Source organism: Homo sapiens, chromosome 14 (genome assembly GCF_000001405.40).
Source record: "Homo sapiens chromosome 14, GRCh38.p14 Primary Assembly".
NCBI classification, from domain to species: Eukaryota; Metazoa; Chordata; class Mammalia; order Primates; family Hominidae; genus Homo; species Homo sapiens.
Genome location: NC_000014.9, coordinates 102634873 through 102655550, shown reverse-complemented (window position 1 = coordinate 102655550; position 20678 = coordinate 102634873). Strand labels below are relative to the sequence as shown.

The following is a 20678-nucleotide window of genomic DNA, read 5'->3' as shown; positions in this document are numbered from 1 at the left end:
TAATCTTCGCAACTTTCTGAACTATTAATAGATACCTAAAGCAGTGCTTAAAAATTAAGACTATAAAAAACATAGGAAAATACTGTGATAAAGCAAAAACAAAAGCAAATTATAAAACATGCCATAGTTAAGGTATTGAGAGGAAGGAATGTCAATGAGCTTCACAAAGGGAAAAATGCCCATGAGTCATTCAGCTTCCTGCCATTCTAAAGTAAAGTACAACAGGTCAGATATTCTCCAGTATTTAAACAGAATCCTTGTAGAAAATAAATCAGAAAACTGCCTCCAGGAAGGGAAAATGGAAGGCCAGGAATGCCTAAGAAATGTACTTCTCTTGTGCATAACCCTTTTGCATCTTTTAATTTTGTACCATATGCCTGTATTGCCTATCCAAATATTCAACAAAATTTAGCTTAAAAAAAAAAAAAAAAAAAAAAAAAGGTTGTCCGCGGTGGTGAATGCCAGAGACCCCAGCACTTTGGGAGGCTGAGGAGGGAGGATGGCTTGAGGCCAGGAGTTTGAGACCACCCTGGGCAACATGGCAAGACCTTATCTCTACAAAAAATGTTTTTAAAGTGAGCCAGGCTAGTGTCACCTACCTCCAGTCCCAGCTACTTGGGAGACTGAGACAGGAGGATCCTTTAAGCCCAGGAGACTGACACTGCAGCAAGCCTTGATCATGTCACTGCACTCCAGCCTAGGTGACGAAGAGATCTTGTCTCAAAAAAAAAGGAAAAGAACAGGAAAAAAAAAAAAAAAAAAAACTCAACCACAGGGAAAGAGGTGTGGCCAAGATACCAATTCTATATTTTTTTTCTTTTTTTAAAAATTTTTTTCTTTATTTTCTTGTAGAGACAGGTTCTCACTATCTTGCCCAGGCTGGTCTCAAACTCAGGCTCAAGTGATCCTCCCCATCTTCGCCTCTCAAAGTGCTGGTATTACAGGTGTCAGCTAGTGCGCCTGGCCTCATTAATTCTAAATTACAAAGATCAGACTTAATCATATTCCCTCTGCAGAGAACTGTGGTTCCAACAAACACACTACTCCCTAGGCCACCCACATCATGAAAAGGTGTGTGTCATCGGAAACCCACAGCCATTATGCGGCATTACTCAAATACTAAATGACAAGCTCAAATTAGAACTACATCTTGTCTTTTACCTACTCTTCATTTTTACCCAAGTGCCTGGCTCAAAATGGAAACTGTATTTTACATGATGGCTATTGTATTAGTCTGTTCTCACACTGCTATAAAAAAATACCTGGCCGGGCGCAATGGCTCAGACCTGTAATCCCGACACTTTGGGAGGCTGAGGCGGGCAGATCACCTGAGGTCAGGAGTTCGAAACCATCCTGGCTAACACGGTGAAACCCTGTCTCTACTAAAAATACAAAAAATTAGCCAGGCGTGGTGGCAGGCACCTGTAGTCCCAGCTACTCGGGAGGCTGAGGCAGGAGAATGGCGTGAACCCGGGAGGCAGAGCTTGCAGTGAGTGGAGATCGCACCACTGCACTCCGGCCTGGGCGACAGAGCCAGACTCCGTCTCAAAAAAAAAAAAAAAAAAAAGAAAGAAAGAAAGAAAGAAAGAAAGAAAGAAAGAAAGAAAGAAAGAAAGAAAGAAAGAAAGAAGGAAATACCTGAGATGAGACTAGGTAATTTATAAAGAGAAGAGGTTTCAATGGCTCAAGGTTCTGCAGGCTGTACAGGAAGCATGATGCTGGCATCTGCTCAGCTTCTAGGGAGGCCTCAGTAAACTTATAATCATGGTGGAAGGCAAAGGGAAAGCAAGCACATATAACATGGCCAGAGGAGGAGCAAGAGAGACAAGAGGGAGGTGCTACACACTTTTAGACGACCCGATCGCCCGAGAGCTCACTCACTATCATGAAAATAGCACCAAGGGGGATATCCACCCCCATGATCCAATCATGGGCCCCCACCTCCAACACTGGGGATGACAATTCGACACAAGATTTGGCTGGGGACACAGATTCAAACCACAACTATCAGCTATAAACATCTAACACAAGCCTTTTAGGAACTACTAAAGAATAACACTATAGGCTGCACGTGGTGGCTCATGCCTGTAATCCCAACGCTTTGGGAAGCCGAGGCCAGCCTGGACAACGTGGCAAAACCCTGTCTCTACCAAAAATAGAAAAAATTAGCTGGGCACGGTAGCGAGTGCCTGTGGTCCCAGCTACTCAGGAGGCTGAGGTGGGAGGATCGATTGAGCCCAGGAGGCGGAGGCTCCAGTGAGGCAAGATTGCACCACTACACTCCAGCCTGGGTGAAAGTAAGACAAGTCTCAATTAAAAAATAATAATAGGCTGGGTGCAGTAGCTCACGCCTGTAATCCCAGCACTTTGGGAGGCCGAGGCAGGAAGATCATGAGGTCAAGAGATCGAGATCATCCTTGCCAACATGGTGAAACCCTGTCTCTACTAAAAATACAAAAATTGGCTGGCGCGCGCCTCTAGTTCCAGCTACTCGGGAGGCTGAGGCAGGAGAATCGCTTGAACCCAGGAGATAGAGGTTGCAGTGAGCCAAGATCACGTCACTGCACTCCAGCCTGGCGACAAAGCGAAACTCCATCTCAAAAAATAGTAATAATAAAACTAAAAAATAAAAATAAAAAGAGTAACACTATAAAATTCAACAGCTGGTATTTTCAAACAGTTTTTTATCCACACTCCCCTCAAATCTTCCCGATACACATTCCTCCCATTTTATTTGCACAGTTATACATGCTAAGTATTCATTATTTATCAACAGTAATATTTTTGTTAAGTGGAAGATAGAAAATGTTAAAGCAGGTGGTTGTTACGTATCTATGGGAAAAAGTCAGCTGGGAGGCTGATTCTAGGTGACAAAAATAGAATATGCTAAAAAGAAATGTAGTTTGGAGAATTTTCACCCAAATTAGAGTCTCAATGAAAGGACACAATAAAATACTGAAATACAGATGTGGGTGGATGGTGTAACATTTGAAGGGAACTGTTCAGAAGAACAAGCAGACAGGCAAGCTTAAAAGAAACAAATAATATAATCACCTAAAGAAAACAGGGCGTTTGAGGACACAGAATTAGGTAAAGGAACACTGCCAGAAGACTAGAGGAGAGAGTGTTTGTAATTCACTGCTCAGCCTTTCTTCCATTCACGTAACTGGGCAATGAAGACTTAAGGTGTTCACTGTTAAGTCATTCTTTAACGCAGCAAGCATTTATTTGGTGTAGCATAACAGTCCTGAAATGGAATCCCAGCTCTGCCTAGACTGAAGGAGAGTTCTCTAATCTCTTTAAGTTTCAATTTTCTCTTCTATAAAAATGGAGGAAACAGTTCCTTCTTCAAAGAGATTAAACAGCAAGTTAAAACAAGTAGCAAACGTCTGGTACATAGTAGGAACTTAAAATAATCAATCCAAACACCACAAATAGATTCAATCATAAGGACACTTTTAAGAAATCCAGTTACAAGGCTCATATCTAAAGCAGATTTAGCAAATTAAATAAACAAAAATAAAACATTCCTAGCAATTTCTACTTATTCTAAGCCAATTCAGCATAAAGATCCTCCAGTGTAAGTTCCCTTTTATTTATGAAGCCTACTGAGAATCAATTTGAGAGACCTTCAGCCACAAGAAATCAGGTCTACAGGGCTATCTAAATAATTAGGGGGCCAGGCATGACGGCTCATGCCTATAATCCCAGCACTTTGGGAGGTCAAGACAGGAGGACCCGTTGAGCCCAGAAGTTGCCAGCAGCAGTAGTGAGCTATGATGGTGCCACTGTACTCTAGCCTGGGAAACAAAGCAAGACCCTGTCTCTATAAATAAATAAATAACCCATTTATTTTGCAAGTGTGCTTATTCATATCAATTCACTTCTGGTCAACAAGCCAAAAAATAAGATACATAAATATAAAATAAATCAGTTCACTTCTTCTCTAGTCTCTCAAGCTATTTTCAAATTCTTTTTTCTTTTTCTTTTTTTTTTTTGAGATGGAGTCTCACTCTGTTGCCCAGGCTAGAGTGCAGTGGCGCAATCTCGGCTCACTGCAACCTCTGCCTTCCAGGTTCAAGCAATTCTCCTGCCTCAACCTCCTGAGCAGCTGGGATTACAGGCACCCGCCACCACGCCCAGCTAATTTTTGTATTTTTAGTAGAGACGGGGTTTCACTGTGTTGGTCAGGCTCATCTCAACCTCCTGACCTCATGATCCGCCTTCCTCGGCCTCCTAAAGTGCTGGGATTACAGGCGTGGGCCACCACGCCTGGCCTATTTTCAAATTCTACACCCTTTATTAATAGCAATACTCAGCTCTGAAGGCTGTGAGACCCCTGATTTCCCACTTCACACCTCTATATTTGTGTGTGTGTGTCTTTAATTCCTCTAGCGCCGCTGGGTTAGGGTCTCCCCGACCGAGCTGGTCTCAGCACCAAACATACTGTCAAATTCTTCTAACTAGTCAACAATGTACTGTGCAACAATGTTAGTTTTATTAGCTGCTAGTGAATTAGGAGTTAGTGTTTTAAATGAGAACATTCTCATTAAGATACCTGTATTCTATTATGAGTCTAAGTCTCATTGTCTAATACAGGAATTATTAGTAATAAGATAATTAAGTTATTCAATAAAGAGCAAACCAAATATTTAACATCTAAGAGTAAGTGCTCTAAATCAAGTCCCGTAAGTTTAAAATATCTCAAGTCAGTTCCTAACTCAGTTGGTAAAGAACACCCACAATACCAATGAGAAGGAAGAGACCAATAACTTCAATGTTTATCCCTTTATATATAACAATTGCAGAATAACCAATGTTTTGCAGACACAGGAATTTCACCAAGTATGTGGTACTGCTTCTCCATCAGTAAAATGAGAAGCATGAACTTACTCTCTAGAGTCCATTTAATAGGAAAATTAAGTGGCTTAATCCTGTCTACAACTTTCACGTCTGACTTCCCTTTCCCAACATCCAAGGGAATCCTGTTCTGTCTTTTAACTGAGTGGATGTGGCGAGGTTTGTAGAATGTGTGTGCTTTTTTCCTACTCTCTTCCTCTGATCCTTCAAGCTTTATTAACATACTTCAGAATAGACTAATCTCAGTCATTAAGCACTGCTGATCACTATGATTCCTCCATCCACCCACCCACCCACCCACCCATCCATCCATTTATTGAAGCAGGATCTTGCTCTGTGCTCTGTCCCTCAGGCTGAAGTGCAGTGGCACTCACTGCAGGCCTCTAATTCCTGACCTCAAGTGATTCTCCCACCTCAGCCTCCCAAAGTGCCAGGATTATGGGCACCAGCCACCATGCCCATGGCCACTATGATTCTTTTTTTTTTTTTTTTTGCGGTGGAGTCTCGCTCTGTCGCCCAGGCTGGAGTGCAGTGGTGCGATCTCGGCTCCCTGCAAGCTGCACCTCCCAGGTTCACACCATTCTCCTGCCTCAGCCTCCTGAGTAGCTGGGACTACAGGTGCCCGCCACCTCACCCGGCTAACTTTTTGTATTTTTAGTAGAGACGGGGTTTCACCATGTTAGCCAGGATGGTCTCATCTCCTGACCTCGTGATCCGCCCATCTCGGCCTCCCAAAGTGCTGGGATTACAGGTGTGAGCCACCGCGCCCGGCCCAAGGCCACTATGATTCTTTAAGCTCTCACCTTTCTTCACTGCCTTCATACACAACCAAGTTAGATAACCAATTCATTTTCTTGAGGATCATTCCTAATGCCAATTTCGTCAACCAGATTTTTTACAGTAAACAAAGCCCATTCTAGCTAATATAAGCAACTAAATGGCTCTACAGGAAGGTCATCAAACCAGATTTACAAGCCATGCAACTAGGACAACACCAGAATTACCCCACAGAACTGCTTCAGTGGAGGTCTTAACTGCTGCAGGTGTTAAACACAAGGACACTTGGCAGTGCATAGTGGACACCACCGCTAGAAAACGCTGCCTCTGAAACCTGGCAGCCATGCTTGTCTACTTCACATCACTTGCTTCCTAATCCTAGTCTTGCCCTGGTGCATGGAATAGAAGTCACACATCTATGACAAACTACAAGAGAGGATGGGAAAACATATTAATAGCTTCTACTGTGGAGTGGACAATTTCCCCTCAAAGACAGTGTTCAAAAGGGGCTGGTACCCAAAATGCATACTAAACATCCACAAGTGATATCACACTAGCTGCTTAGGTCCTAAGGCCCCTGTGTACTTTTTTTCTCAGTTTATTCCCTAAATTGCTCCCTAAGTTCAGTGTTATGGCACTCTCGTAGTTTATGACTAGTAAATACTATTCATAGCTGAATCCTGTTGCATTCTGTTGTTGTAAGTCCATTCTTGTACAATTTGTTTTACCTGATTTTTAATTTATGTTTGTTAAGAGACAGGGTCTCACTCTGTCACCCAGGCCAGAGTTCAGTGGTGTGATTATGTGTGATTTTTTTACCTGGAATTAATAATTCTATTTTTTTTTTGTTTTTTTTGCTTGTTTGGTTTTCTGTATATGTATCACTAATTCACCTCCAAACTTCTACTACATGTGTAAGTCTCAACACATCAGGCTATCTATTGGTTGTTTATTTCTTGACAACACCCCTTTGGAGCCCTGTCTTCACTCACCAATCTGGACTAACTGGTGAATGCCTACACAGCTATTATCCCAAGATTTCTCTTTAAGAATTCCCTTCACCTTATCCTTTGCTGGATTCCATGTCTGGGCCAAGCTTTCAGGGAGATTAAGCAAATGAGTAACTATATTAAGGATGAGAACCAAGATTCTCACTGTCAGAGACGAGAGCTACAAATAAGGAAAGGAAAAGGGCTAAAATGAATCCTATGATGTTGGATCAAAATGGTGGCATTTGTGGTAAAATTCATGGTTATATATATGTGTAGGCAGAGATATAGACAATAAATATGTCTAATAAATAAATACACATAGATCTACTTGTTCTGCCCACTAAGAGGGCTGAAAACAACAATATCCTGGCAGCAATAAATACAGCTAGTGCCAAGATATTGGTTTCTATAATACTATTCTCCACTTCAAGAGAATGGCTCCTCCTTAGACAAACAGTTGACTCCAGGATGAGGCAGAGAACATACAAGATAAATTTGAAATATTCTAAGATACCATAAACAAGCATTTAAAGGATTATAGAGGGCTAGGTGCAATGGCTCATGCCTGTAATCCCAGCACTTCGGGAGGCCAAGGCAGGCAGATCACCTGAGATCAAGAGTTCAAGACCAGCCTCGCCGACATGGTGAAACCCCGTCTCTACTAAAAATACAAAAATTAGCCAGGTGTGGTGGCGCATGCCTGTGATCTCAGCTACTCCAAAGGCTGAGGCAGGAGAATTGTCTGAACCCGGGAGGCGGGGGTTGCAGTGAGGCGAGATCACGCCACTACATTCCAGCTTGGGTGACAGAACAGGACTCTGTCTCAAAAAAATAAAAATAAATAAAGGATTATAGATATTTGTCAAAAGGACACAGGAGTCAGCTTGAAGGAAATCCCATTGGCCAAATCTGGAATAATATGACCATCAAATTAAAAATAATAGGCCGAGCATGGTGGTATATGCCTGTGATCTCAGCACTTTGGGAGCACAAGGTAGGCGGCTCACTTGAGGTCAGAAGTTTGAGATCAGCCTGGTCAACATGGCAAAACTCCGTCTCTACTAAAAATACAAAAATTAACCAGGTGTGGTGGCACGCGTCTGTAGTCCCAACTACTTAGGAGGCTGAGGCAGGATAACTCCCTGAATCCGGGAGGCGGAGGCTGCAATGAGTGGAGATCTTGCCACTGGGCCCCAGCCAGGGCGACAGATGGAGACTCCGTCTCAAAAATAAATAAAATAAATAAATAAAAATAAAGATGTCTTTATGTTCATACTACAGTTTGGCATAGAATCCTAAATTGGGCCAGGTGCAGTGGCTCACGCCTGTAATCCCAGCACTTTGGGAGGCTGGGGTGGCCAGATCATGAGGTCAGGAGTTCAAGACCAGCCTGGCCAGCATGGTGGGGAAACCCCGTCTCTACTAAAAATACAAAAAATTAGCCAAGCATGGTGGTCCACACCTGTAACCCCAGCTACTTGGGAGGCTGAGGCAGGAGAACTGGTTGAACCCAGGAGGCGGAGGGTGCAGTGAGCCGAGATCACACCACCGCATTCCAGCCCAGCGAAAGAGCGAGACTCCATCTCAAAAAAGAAGAAAAAAAAATCCTAGATGGGTATGCTCCTAGAATTCTGAGGACACTGCTCCACTGTCACCTAGATTCTAGTGTCATACAGATTCTCAGTCCACTGCTGTAACTTGACTTGCTTCCACTGGAGGATTTTGAGATCTTCTCTATTCTCAGTGTTCTGAAATCTCAGTGTGATGTACCAATCTATTTTTTCTTTTATTCCCTGCGCTGGGCACTCAGTGGGTCTGCTCAATGTGGAGATTTGTGATTTTCACTTCTGAACATTTTTAATGTGTTGATTTAATATTGTTTCCTCTCAATTATCTTTTCTCTCTCTAGAACATCTAACAGTGCAGATGTTGGAGCTCCTGAACCAATCCATTAACTCTAAAGTATTCCCTTCTGTTTTGTTTTTGTATTCATCATCAATTACTAATATTATATCATAATTGCTTTAGTTGTCTCTCTTGTACATAACCGCTCTCCCTTCTCCCTCCCTCTCCCACTGTGTGTGAGCGCACGTGTGTGCACACAACCATCTGAAAAATGCAAATATCATGACAGTTCCTTTAGTATGCATCTTCTAAGCCTAAGGGCATTCTCCTCTATAACCACAGTGCTATTATCACACTTAAGCAAAAATTAATATTAATTCATTATCATTAGTATACAGTCCTTATTCACATTTCCACACTTCCTCTTCCCACCTAAATATGTTTCAGTCAAGAAGCCAATCAGGCATTGTCTTTCTCTTTTTGTCTGTCTTTGCCTACTACTTTCTGGAAGATTTCCTTGGTTTCCTATTGAAAATTTGTCCTGCAATCCTATTTTCCAAGAGCTCTTTCTTGTTCTCTGAATGGACCCCTACTTTATACCTTCTTGCTTTTATGTCATGCATTTTCTCTTAGCTCTTCAAGCTTTTTTGTTTTTTCAAATTTGAGCTTTTCTTATGCAACCTGTATTTCCTATTTCTTCACTTGGTTTCTTTTTATCTGTCTGTGTTAGACTGTTATGGCTTTTTCTTCATGTGCCTGATAATCCTTGACTGTTAAGTCACAGTTAAGAAGGAAGTACTAAAAAGTAAGTTTTAATGTCACATACACAGCTGGTGCTTATTAATGGCAAGACTCCCCTGCAAGGTGATCAGACAGGGATGTAACTGTTTCACTAAGAGCTATGGTGGATTACATTTTTCTAGAGCTGATCACATTATCTCCCACCCCATATCACCTTCTTACAGTGTGGCCAACTGACACTAAGATATGAGGTCTGTTTTCCTCCCCTAGAACCCCAGGCAAGTTGTTGACTAGAGCAGAAATGATGTGATGTAACTTCCAAGACTAAGTCATCATAAAAGGTAATACAGATTCTGCTCATCCTCCCACAGGACATACATTTGGACACAAAGCTATGTGGGCAGTCTGAGTGCCCTGAAGAAGCAGCACAAACAAATTCACACAGAGACCTTGTGGAGGCGGCTCAGCTCGGCCCTCTCCAGCTGTGCACACTGCCTTGCCTGTGCACTACTCTTCAGCTCTACCATCTGACTGCAGCCAAAGCAAGAACCTGAGCCACAATTGCCCAATCAAGCTCTTCCTAAATTCCTGACCTACAGAAATCACGGAATTATTTTAAGTCACTAACTTTTGGGGGTCATTTTTCAGGCAGCAAGACTAAGGAACAGATTTTGGCACCTGGAAGTGAGATGCTGCAACAAAAACCCAGAACTGTGCTACTGGCTTTGGGGCTGGGTGGCAGGTGGAAATTGCAAGGCCTTTAAGAGGCTATCAGCAAAAGCCTGAAGGGCCTCAACAAGGAAACTATCAGGAAAAGCTTAATAGAAACTATGAAAACTACTATTGTACATTACAGGAAAAGGGTCCCCTGTTGTCTAAGTAGTGGAAAATGTGGCCTTTAGAAATGTGGAAAACAGGAAATGCACCTAATAAACTCCATGATCTACCTAAGGATATTTCCAGGCAGAATTTTAAAAAAAGAAACAATTCTCAAAATTCTCAGTGGTAAAGAACAAACCCAGACTGTGACTGTAATACTTTCTTAAAACCTCAAAAAGATCTAAGAAGGTTCTGCACTGTCCTTTCCAAGAGACCAAGAGCCTTCTAAGGATTTTAAGATCCTCTCCATCAAACAACAGGGCTTCTAAGAATACTAAGGCTGGTGACACACAAGGAGCCCAAGGAAATGAAGGACCTACCACAAACAGGCTAAGTGTGGTTCCTGTCTAATGTAGTAGGTTACAAATTGACACAGAGAGAGCCCACAAAATTTTCAAAGGAATTATACCAGTTTGGACTGAAAGAGACAAAAACAGTACAAAATGAGGGGAAGGTTTTTTTGTTCCTCCAAAACTACCGAAAGCACAAAGGCTAAGAAAACTACTCAGCTATAAAAATCAGCCATTTCTTAGGGAAAAGGGTAACTCAGAAGACAAAACAAAATTCTCAGCAGAAACCAGAGCCTGAAACAATCATTCCCAGGCACCAGAACTGAGACCAAATCAAGGAATTGGTAACGTGTGCCCTGCTGAATTTCAGAATGGCAATGGATGAGAAACTACTGTGCCTCCTGTTTCCTCTTTTCTGGGCAGATGTGTCTACAGCAATTATCCTAAGCTTGTCCTGCCATTTTAAGTCAGAGGAAGCAACAGATTCCTTCTCTTGACGTCACATGAGTTCAGCTCTAGAGGAACCACACCTGAGGAGCTTTGGGTGGCCACAACTGGGCTTGATTCAGGTGACAAGATGCTGAACTTGAAGTTAATGCCATAGCAGGAAGGGGGAGCGATGTGATGGGAGAGGGTGTGAGCACAAGTGACAAGAAGGAGGAATGTGAATTATTGTGACCAAATGAGAAAATGTGGTAGATTGTGTTTTCCAAAGGTGGTCACAGAATGTTTCTCATGTCATCCCACAGGGACCCCTTACACTCTGACTGCAATTCCACTTCTGTACTCCTACCAAGAGATGGAATCTATGTTCCCTGCCCTTGAAGCTGACTAGACTTGTGACTACATCGGAAAGGAGCCTATGTGACTTCCGAGGCTGGGTCATGAAAAGTGAATCAGTTAATAGTCAGTTTTCTTGCGATACTTGCTTTGGAAGCCTGCACTTTCTTGTAAGCAGTCAGAGGCCATAATGTTGTGAGGAGCACAAATCAGCCCATGCTGAGACACCAGGAAGAAAGCTGTCTGGCCAGCCAAGGCCACTTCAGCACCCTACTGTTCAGCTCCAGCCACCATGTGAACACAACTTAAGTCAGAGAAACCCAAGCCAGAGCTGCCCAACTGATGTCTTCCTAAATCCTCATCACCAGAAAGTGTGAGATAATAAAACGATTGTTGTTGTTTAAAGACAATAGTAACAGCAACAGTTGTTAGGCGGTAATAACTGGAATACAGGGTAACACTCAATTGTTAGCATCTGGGCCAGTTTTCTCCCAAAGAAGAACCTTCTAATTTGCTGGAGAGTATAAGCCAGGCTATTAAGAATTCTGGAATGACCATTCAATATACAAACTTTCACTTCATAGATACGTCTCCCCCACCACGTCCAGATAGTTTCCACCCGTCCTCCCCATTTCAAGTCTAGGGTACAGCTCTGGTTCAAACTCTACCAAAAGTAAACTTGTCTTGTGCTAGGCTAGGGAAAGTCTAATTCCTGGACTGCTGGAATGAAGCATAATCTAGAGACAGGAAGAATTCCTGGAGACTTTCAGTCAGCCCATCAGCTTAGGGCCAACCACACCACACCTGGGCCTCTGAAGATACCTGGTGCCTCCACCTCCTAGGCCTTGCTGCAGTTCTGCAGCAGCAATCTGCTTCCTCCAGCATCACTACCACCGCTTTTCAGTTCTGGCAAGGTAATTACCATGCATTAATCTATTATTTCAGTTTCTAAAACATTAGTGACATCTCTATACTGCTATACTGTTTATACTATCCCATTACTCAACATTCCAAATCTCAATGTTTTTACCTTTCTTCCTTTCCTGGAAGCTCTATAAGGTTTGTTCACATCTTTTCTAATCTCTTCCATTCCTCTTTTTTTTGAGACGGAGTCTCGCTCTGTCGCCCAGGCTGGAGTGCAGTGGCATGATCTGGGCTCACTGTGCAAGCTCCGCCTCCCGGGTTCACGCCATTCTCCTGCCTCAGCCTGCCAAGTAGCTGGGACTACAGGCACCCGCCACCACGCCCGGCTAATTTTTTGTGTTTTTAGTAGAGACAGGGTTTCACCGTGTTAGCCAGGATGGTCTTGATCTCCTGACCTCGTGATCTGCCCGCCTCGGCCTCCCAAAGTGCAGGGATTACAGGCGTGAGCCACTGCGCCCAGCCAATCTCTTCCATTTCTAATGCTTAGCCTTCACTATCAAGTTTAGGACACTGTAAAATCTTTAAAATGGCCTTCCTGACTCATTCCCCCATACCCTGATCCCTCCTATACTGTGTCAGAATACTTTTCTGCCGATACTATGCTAACACAGACTAACTTTTTTTAATAGACAGGGTCTCACTCTGTCACCTAGGCTGGAGTGCAGTGGCAATGATCATAGCTCACCACAGCCTCGACTTCCTGGGCTCATGTGATCCTTCCATCTCAGCATCCCGAGTACCTGGGACCATAGGCATGTGCCACCATACCCGGCTTATTTTTATAATTTTTATAGAGACGAGGTCTCACTTTGTTGCCCAGGCTGGTCTGGAATTTCTGGGCTCAAGCGATCCTTCCCACCTCTGCCTCCCAAAGTGCTGAAATTACAGGTGTGAGCCACCATGCCCAGCCCAGATTAACTTCTGAACAAGTTTAACTATTAGTATTATCATCAAATCGGCCTAAGACTTTTTTATAAAGAGTATCTCTTCCTCCTTGTATCAACCCTATGAGACAAATATTATCACTCTTAACAAATGAAGAAACGCATTCAACAACATTCTATGGAACTGAACTGCGCTTCAATTTCCTCCTGCCAAATAATCTCAAGAATCTTAACCAGATCTAAAATTTTATTTTCTACAATTCAAAGGTAAGAAACATGAGGCACTGAATACAACTTACACTAATCAAGATCAGACACTTGTTAATACCGTCAAAGAAGTTTATTCCTTCTATCAGATTCCTTCTTTACCTATGTATTCTTTCAATTAGAGTAAGAAACTGAAAGGACAATGGACACAGACGCAGCTGGGGCACGAGGAGTAAAGGGAAAGAGGTAAAAACTAAACACGCCACAACAGAATGGAGTCACAATTCCATCAATCCCTATGTTAACCACCCTTGTCCCCAAATAATGGACCTTATCAAATCACGAGAGGTACTATCAAATATTCACCACATGAAATCCAGAAATGATGCAAGTTTTTTTAATACATGCAGATTCAGTGCTGCTCAAATTCCCATGATTTCCCTATGAAGCTACAAGTTCAAAGGTAATAAATGAAGATACAACAATCATCTTTGTAAAACCAGCCTTTCCACTGTATTTGACACACTACCCAAACCCCAAAGAAACTATGCTAGATACAGGAGGGGGCTAGACAGAAGTAACACATAGCCCCTGCTTTCTTGAAGCATACATGTTAGTGGGCAAGAAATATTAAACCTTGTGCAAGCGTCACTTTCCTTATATGAGTAAAATGGAGTTAACAGCAATTACTTCCCCAAATTGTCCTATAAAGCACCTATCATAGTAGCTGGTACAAAAAAACGGCATAAATATTATTATTTTTTTTTTAATTGAGACAGGGTCTCACTCTGTTGTTGGGACTGGAGTGCAGTGGCGACATCTTGGCTCACTGCAGCCTCAACCTCCTGGGCACAAGTGATCCGCCCACCTCAGCTTCCTGAATAGCTGGGACTAAAGGAGAACACCACCATAACCGGCTAATTTTTGTACTTTTTGTAGAGATGGGGTTTTGCCATGTTGCCCAGGTTGGTCCCGAACTCCTGGGCTCAAGTGATCCACCCGCCTCAGCCTCCAAAAGTGCTAGGACTACAGGTGTGAACCACTGTGCCCAGCTGCATAAATATTATTTATTATTGAATAACTGCTTACATAATTCTTTTCTGGTTTTCTTTTTTTTTAAGGCCGAGTCTCACTCTGCCGCAAGGCTGGAGTGCAGTGGTGCAATTTCGGGTCACTGCAACCTCCACCTTCCGGGTTCAAGCAATTCTCTTGCCTCAGCCTTCCAAGTAGCTGGGACCACAGGCACGCGCCACCAAGCCCAGCTAATTTTTTTTGTATTTTTAGTAGAGATGGGGTTTCAACATGTTGGCCAGGACGGTCTCGATCTCCTGACCTCGTGATCCACCTGCCTCAGCCTCCCAAAGTGCTGGGATTACAGGCGTGAGCCACCACACCCAGCCTCTTTTCTGTTTTTCTTCTGAGACAGGGATCTTGCTCTGTCACCCAGGCTGGAGTGCAATGGCAGTTCACTGCAGCCTCAACCTCCCTGGCTCAAGTGATCCTCCCACTTCAGACTCCAAAGTACCTGGAACCAGAGGTGCACACTACGACAGCCAGCTAATTTTTTAATTTTCTGTAAGACGGGGTTTCACTATGTTGCCCAGGCTGGGCTCAAGTGTCCCTCCTACCTCAGTCTCCCAAAATGCTGGAATTACAGGCGTGAGCCAACGTGTCCAGCCTCAAAAAATTCTTTAAATTACAATCAGATAAGGTGTTAAGTGTGATAGCCTCTGCAGAAAAGAGCTATGTGACCTCAATTACATCTCATTCTAAACTTTTTTGAAATTTAGTTATTTTACACTAATATTACATTTTTTAAAAATTAATTTTAAAAAATTGCAACCAAAATACAAGACAGGTGTCTCGATCTCCATGAGGTTTTCTTGGTTAGTCCACCAAGTCTTTGAGAGTCGGAAGAACTACCCAAGATACCTGTCATCATCTTGAAATCTGCTATGTACTTTAGGATGGATCAAGTGTTCACATCTCGTTCATACATATCTAAATACTGACTGTTTTAGCTGAAGAGGACAGGCTTAAGACACAATTATTTTAACTCATTATCTTCCATTTCAGACATTCAATTAATTAAAAACATGACTAGGCTGGGCACAGCGGCTCCCAGCACTTTAGGAGGCTGAGGTGGGCGATCTGAAATTCCGGAGTTCAAGACCAGCCTGGGCAACACGGCAAAACGCAAACTCAAATAAAAAATACATATATATATGGCTGGGTGTGGCGGCTCACGCCTGTCATCCCAGCACTCTGGGAAGCTGAGGCAGGCGGATCACCTGAGGTTGGGAATTCAAGACCAGCCTGACTAACATGGTGAAACGCCATCTCTACTAAAAACACAAAATTAGCCGGGTGTGGTGGCAGATGCCTGTAATCCCAGCTGCTCATGAGGCTGAGGCAGAGAATCACTTGAACCCAGGAGGCGGAGGTTGCAGTGAGCCGAGGTCATGCCATTGCACTCCAGCCTGGGGACAGAGCGAGACTCCGTCTCATGAATGAATGAATGAATGAATGAATGAATGAATAGGCTGAGCTCAGTGTCACACCTGTAACCCCAGCACTTTGGGAGGCTGAGGTGGGCAGATCTTCTGAGGCTGGGAGTTCAAGACCAGCCCGGCCAACATGGTGAAACTGCATCTCCACAAAACTACAAAAATCAGCCAGGCATAATGGCAGGTGCCTGTAATCCCAGCTACTAGGGAGGCTGAGGCAGGAGAATCTCTTGAACCCAGGAGGAGGAAGATACAAAGAGCCAAGATCACGCCATTGCACTCCAGCCTGGACAACAGAGCGAGACTCCATCTCAATAAATAAATAAATAAATAAATAAATAAATAAATAAATAAATAAATAAATAAAAATTAAAAAATAAATTAATTAGCCAGACATGCTGATGCATACATGTATTCCCAGCTACTGGAGGGGGAGAGCTGGGGAAGGGAAGGGGAGGAGCTGGTAAAGGGGAGGAGAAGGCTGAGGTAGGAGGATCATTTGTGTCCAGGAGGTCCAGGCTGCAGTGAAACCTGATCATGTCACTGTAGTCCAGCCTGGGTGACAAAAAGAGATCTTGTCTCAAAAAAAAAAAAAAAAAAGAAAGAAAGAAAACAAAGAGTAGTTGGTTCTCCTAGAAGGAATTTATACAACTTCACAGTTTTAATTCCAAATTACGCTGTTTAGTTACCTTCACCGCACAAAAGAAAACCATCCAAATGCTTTTTAATGGGAAAATCTTAATACATTACAAGCTAGATCTGCCTAGCAACAAGTTATAAACTTATGTCATCCTACTTATGTTCCCATGGATACAGTCATGAACAGTACAGTGGTAGCTGTACAAATTAGGAAAAAAATCCCAAGAGAATTACATCCAAAACTTGGATAGAAAATACTACTAGGCTGGGCACAGTAGTTCACGCCTGCAATCCCAGCACTTTCAGAGGCTGAGGCAGGCGGAGCACCTGACATCAGGAGTTAGAGATCAGCCTGGCCAGCATGGCGAAACCCCGTCTCCACTAAAAATACAAACATTACCCGGATGTGGTGGTTCGCACCTGTAATCTCAGCTACTCACTGAGACAGCAGAATTGCTTGAACCAGGGAGGCAGAGGTTGCAGTAAGCCAAGATTGTGCCACTGCACTCCAGCCTGGACAACATAGCAAGACTCCGTCTCAAGAAAAAAAGAAAAGAAAAGAAAAAAAAACACTACTATAGGCCAGGCGAGGTGGCTCACACCTGTAATCCCAACCTTTGAGAAGACCAAGGCCAGTAGCTCACTTGAAGTCAGGAGTTCGAGACCAGCCTGGCCAACATGGCAAAACCCCATCTCTACTGAAAATACAAAAATGAGCTGGGCATGGTGGCAGGGGCCTGTAATTCCAGCTACTCGGGAGGCTGAGGTTGCAGTGAGCCGAGATCACACCACTGCACTCTAGCCTGGGTGACAAGAACGAAAATATGACTCAAAAAAAAAGAAAAGAAAGAAAAGAAGACAACGCTATAAAGGTAAGAATACGGTCTAGTATCTTTTCAATTAAAATCCTTCTCTCTCTTCCCTACAAATCCCAACTAACCTTCCATTAGAATCTCCCTCTTTAAATCTGCTCCCATCTGGTGTTTTTAAACACAATTGTTAATAGAACTTCAGCAAGAACTTCTGCACCTGAGTTGATAATGTCCTTGGACTATTTTATGTGTGCTATCCCCAAAATCTGTACACAGGTTTCTGTTCTTTATAATGTAGCAAATTTGTCACATTAGCTTGAAAACAGGGTGGAAACACATTTACATGGTAAATCTGCAATCTGGGGGAAGTTAAATTTTTTTTTGTTCGTTTTTGAAGCCAATATTGTTTTTCAGATACAGAAATTGGAACAAAAAGAAATGGATAATCAAACACTGGAGAAGAAAATTATTTTAAACTTAATTATTTACTTCCAGTACAGTGTTTGAACACTGTAAGACACAACGAAACTAGAAAAAAACAAAGCAATGCTCCCTCTTAGCAATTTAAGGGCACTCTCCCTTTGTTCAGATAACTTTTTCTTTAATTGTAAAATTACTGACATCACCGAAAAAACTAAATGTGTCTCAAAAAAAATCGCTTTGCAGCCATGTGAGGTGACTCAAGCCTGTAATCTCAGCACTTGAAGAGGCCAAGGCAGGCAAATCGTTTTGAACTCCTAAGTTCGAGACTACCTGGGCAACATGGCAAAAATCTCGACTCTACAAAAAAATACTAAACATTAGCCAAGCACGATGGTGCCTGTGGTCCTAGCTACTTGGGAGGCTGAGATGGGAGGATCACCTAAGCCCAGGAGGCCAAGGCTGCGGTGGGCCATGATCACACCACTGAACTCCAGCCTCAGCAACATAGTGAGATCCTGTCTCAGAAACATTTTTTTAAATAAAAAAATAAAATATATATATGCGGCCAGGTGCAGTGGCTCAAGTCTGTAATCCCAGCACTTTGGGAGGCCAAGGCAGGTAGATCAACTGAGGTCAGGAGGTTCGAGACCAGCCTCACCAACATAGTAAAACCCCGTCTCTACTAAAAATACAAAAATTAGCTGGGCATGGTGGCGGGCGCCTGTAATCCCAACTACTCGGGAGGCTGAGGCAGGAGAATCGCTTGAACACAGGAGGCGGAGGTTGCCGTGAGCCGAGATTGTGCCACTGCACTCCAGCCTGGGCGACAGAGTAAGACTCCGTCTCAAAAAAAAAAAAATAAAAAAACAAACAAACAAACAAAAAAAACTTGTACACAGCCAAACTAACCATATATATAATCATCAAAAGAAAAACATTTACAAAGTCTATGTCAAAAGGCTTGCTAGTAAGTTCCTTCAATATGCAAAGAGTTTTGTTTTGTTTTGTTTTGTTTTTTTGAAACAGAGTTTCACTCTTGTCACCCAGGCTGGAGTGCAATGGTGCGATCTCAGCTCACTGCAACCTCCACCTCCCGGGTTCAAGTGATCCACATGCCTCAGTCTTCCAAATAGCTGGGATTACAGGCGTGCACCACCATGCCCAGCTAATTTTTGTATTTGTAGTAGAGACGGGGGTTTCACCATGTTGGCCAGGCTGGTCTCGAACTCCTGACCTCAGGTGATCCGCCTGCCTCGGCCCCAAAAAGGGCTGGGATTACAGGTGTGAGCCACTGCACCCAGCAAAAAAAATTCTTATAAACCAATAAGAAACTCAGTAAAACGGGTGAAGGTAAAAAATAGAGAATACTCAAAGAAGAATGATCTACAAACATATGAAAAGATTTCTATGGCCAGGCGCAGTGGCTCACACCTGTATTCTCAGCACTTTGGGAGGCCCTGGGGGAAGAAATAGCCTGAGGTCAGAAGTTCGAGACCAGCCTGGCCAACATAGTGAAACCCTATCTCTAGTAAACAAATACAAAAAGTTAGCGGGGTGTGGTGGCAGGCACCTGTAATCCCAGCTACTTGGGAGGCTGAGGCAGGAGAATCGCTTGAACCCAGGAGGCAGAGGTTGCAGTGCGCCAAGATCACGCCACTGCACTCCAGCCTGGGCGACAAGAGCAAAACTCCATCTCAAAAAAAGGAAAAGATTTCTACGTTAAAAAAAATTTTTTTTAGAAACAGTTTCTCACTGCCGGGTGTGGTTGCTCACGCCTATCATCACAGCACTTTGGGAGGCCAAGGCGGGCAGATCACGAGGTCAGGAGATCAAGACCATCCTGGCTAACACGGTGAAACCCCATCTCTACTAAAAATACAAAAACAAAAAATTAGCCGGGTGTGGTGGCAGGTGCCTGTAGTCCCAACTACTCAGGAGGCTGAGGTGGGAGAATGGCGTGAACCTGGGAGGCGGAGGTTGCAGTGGTGACACTACACTCCAGCCTGGGCGACAGAGTGAGACTCTCTGTCAGAAGGGAGGGAGGGAGGGAGAAACTTTTATGTTTCTCACTGCATTACCAAGGCTGGAGTGCAATGGCTCAATCATAGCCCACTGCAATTGCTGGGCATAAGTGATCTTCCCACCTTAGCAGCTAGGACTACAGGTGCATGACACCACGCCTGGCTCAATTTGGGAGTTTATATCTAAATTTTTAATTCACCAATTCCACTTCCAGGACTCGACCAAAAAGTTAAACCAAGTAAGCAGAGATTACATGCAGAAAAACAATCCATGCAGATTAGTTGTAATACAGAATATTAGAAAAAAAAATGTGTCAACTTGCGTCAAATTATGGTCATATTCATACCAACATGCTATGCAATCATTATTGCATACAATTTTAATAATAATATAGCTACTTTTAGCTCATTTCTGTATATGTATATACATATTTTAATAAATATACATTGCTTCCATTTCTTTTTTGAGACAAAGTCTCACTCTGTCACCCAGACTGGAGTGCAGTGGAGTGATCTCAGCTCACTGCAACCTCCGCCTCCTGGGTTCAAGCAGTTCTCCCACCTCAGCCTCCCGAGTAGCTGGGAATACAGGCACCTGCCATGACACCCGGCTACTTTTTGTATTTTTAGTAGAGATGGGTTTTCACCATGGTGGCCAGGCTGGTCTCAAACTCCTGACCTCAAGTGATCCACCCGCCTGGGCCGCCCAAAGTGCTGGGATTATAGGCATGAGCCGCCGTGTGCAGCAGCTTCAGTATTTTTTTGTAACAGAAGATTTTAGACATATATACTGAGAAGAATTTAAAAGTTTGCATAAGAAAAACTAGGAAACATTGGACTGGGTGCAATGGCTCATGCCTGTAATCCTAGCACTTTAGGAGGCCAAGGCAGGAGGACTGCTTGAGGCCAGGAGTTCAAGACCAACCAGGCCAACACAGCCAGACTCCATCTCTTTAAAAAAAGGCCAGGCATGGTGGCTCACACCTGTAATCCTATCACTTTGGGAGGCCGAGGTGGGCGGATCACCTGAGGTCAGGAGTTTGAGACCAGCCTGACCAACGTGGTGAAACCCCTTCTGTACTTAAAAAAAAAAAAAA

At 43.3% G+C, this 20678-nt stretch overlaps 1 protein-coding gene across 2 annotated transcripts in view, besides 1 other annotated feature; it reads right to left on the bottom strand.

Annotated features, from left to right (window-relative positions):
• The window catches only part of RCOR1 (REST corepressor 1), a 137913-nt gene that overhangs the window by 75011 nt on the left and 42224 nt on the right, over positions 1-20678 (bottom strand). The gene's annotated exons all lie outside the window — the stretch shown is intronic.
• Positions 1784-2283: an enhancer, noted in NCBI's record as "H3K27ac hESC enhancer chr14:103119605-103120104 (GRCh37/hg19 assembly coordinates)". NCBI's record gives its function as "activates a minimal SCP1, AML or CMV promoter by ChIP-STARR-seq in primed H9 embryonic stem cells {active_cell/tissue: H9 hESC(primed)}" and the evidence as "EXISTENCE:reporter gene assay evidence [ECO:0000049][PMID:30033119]".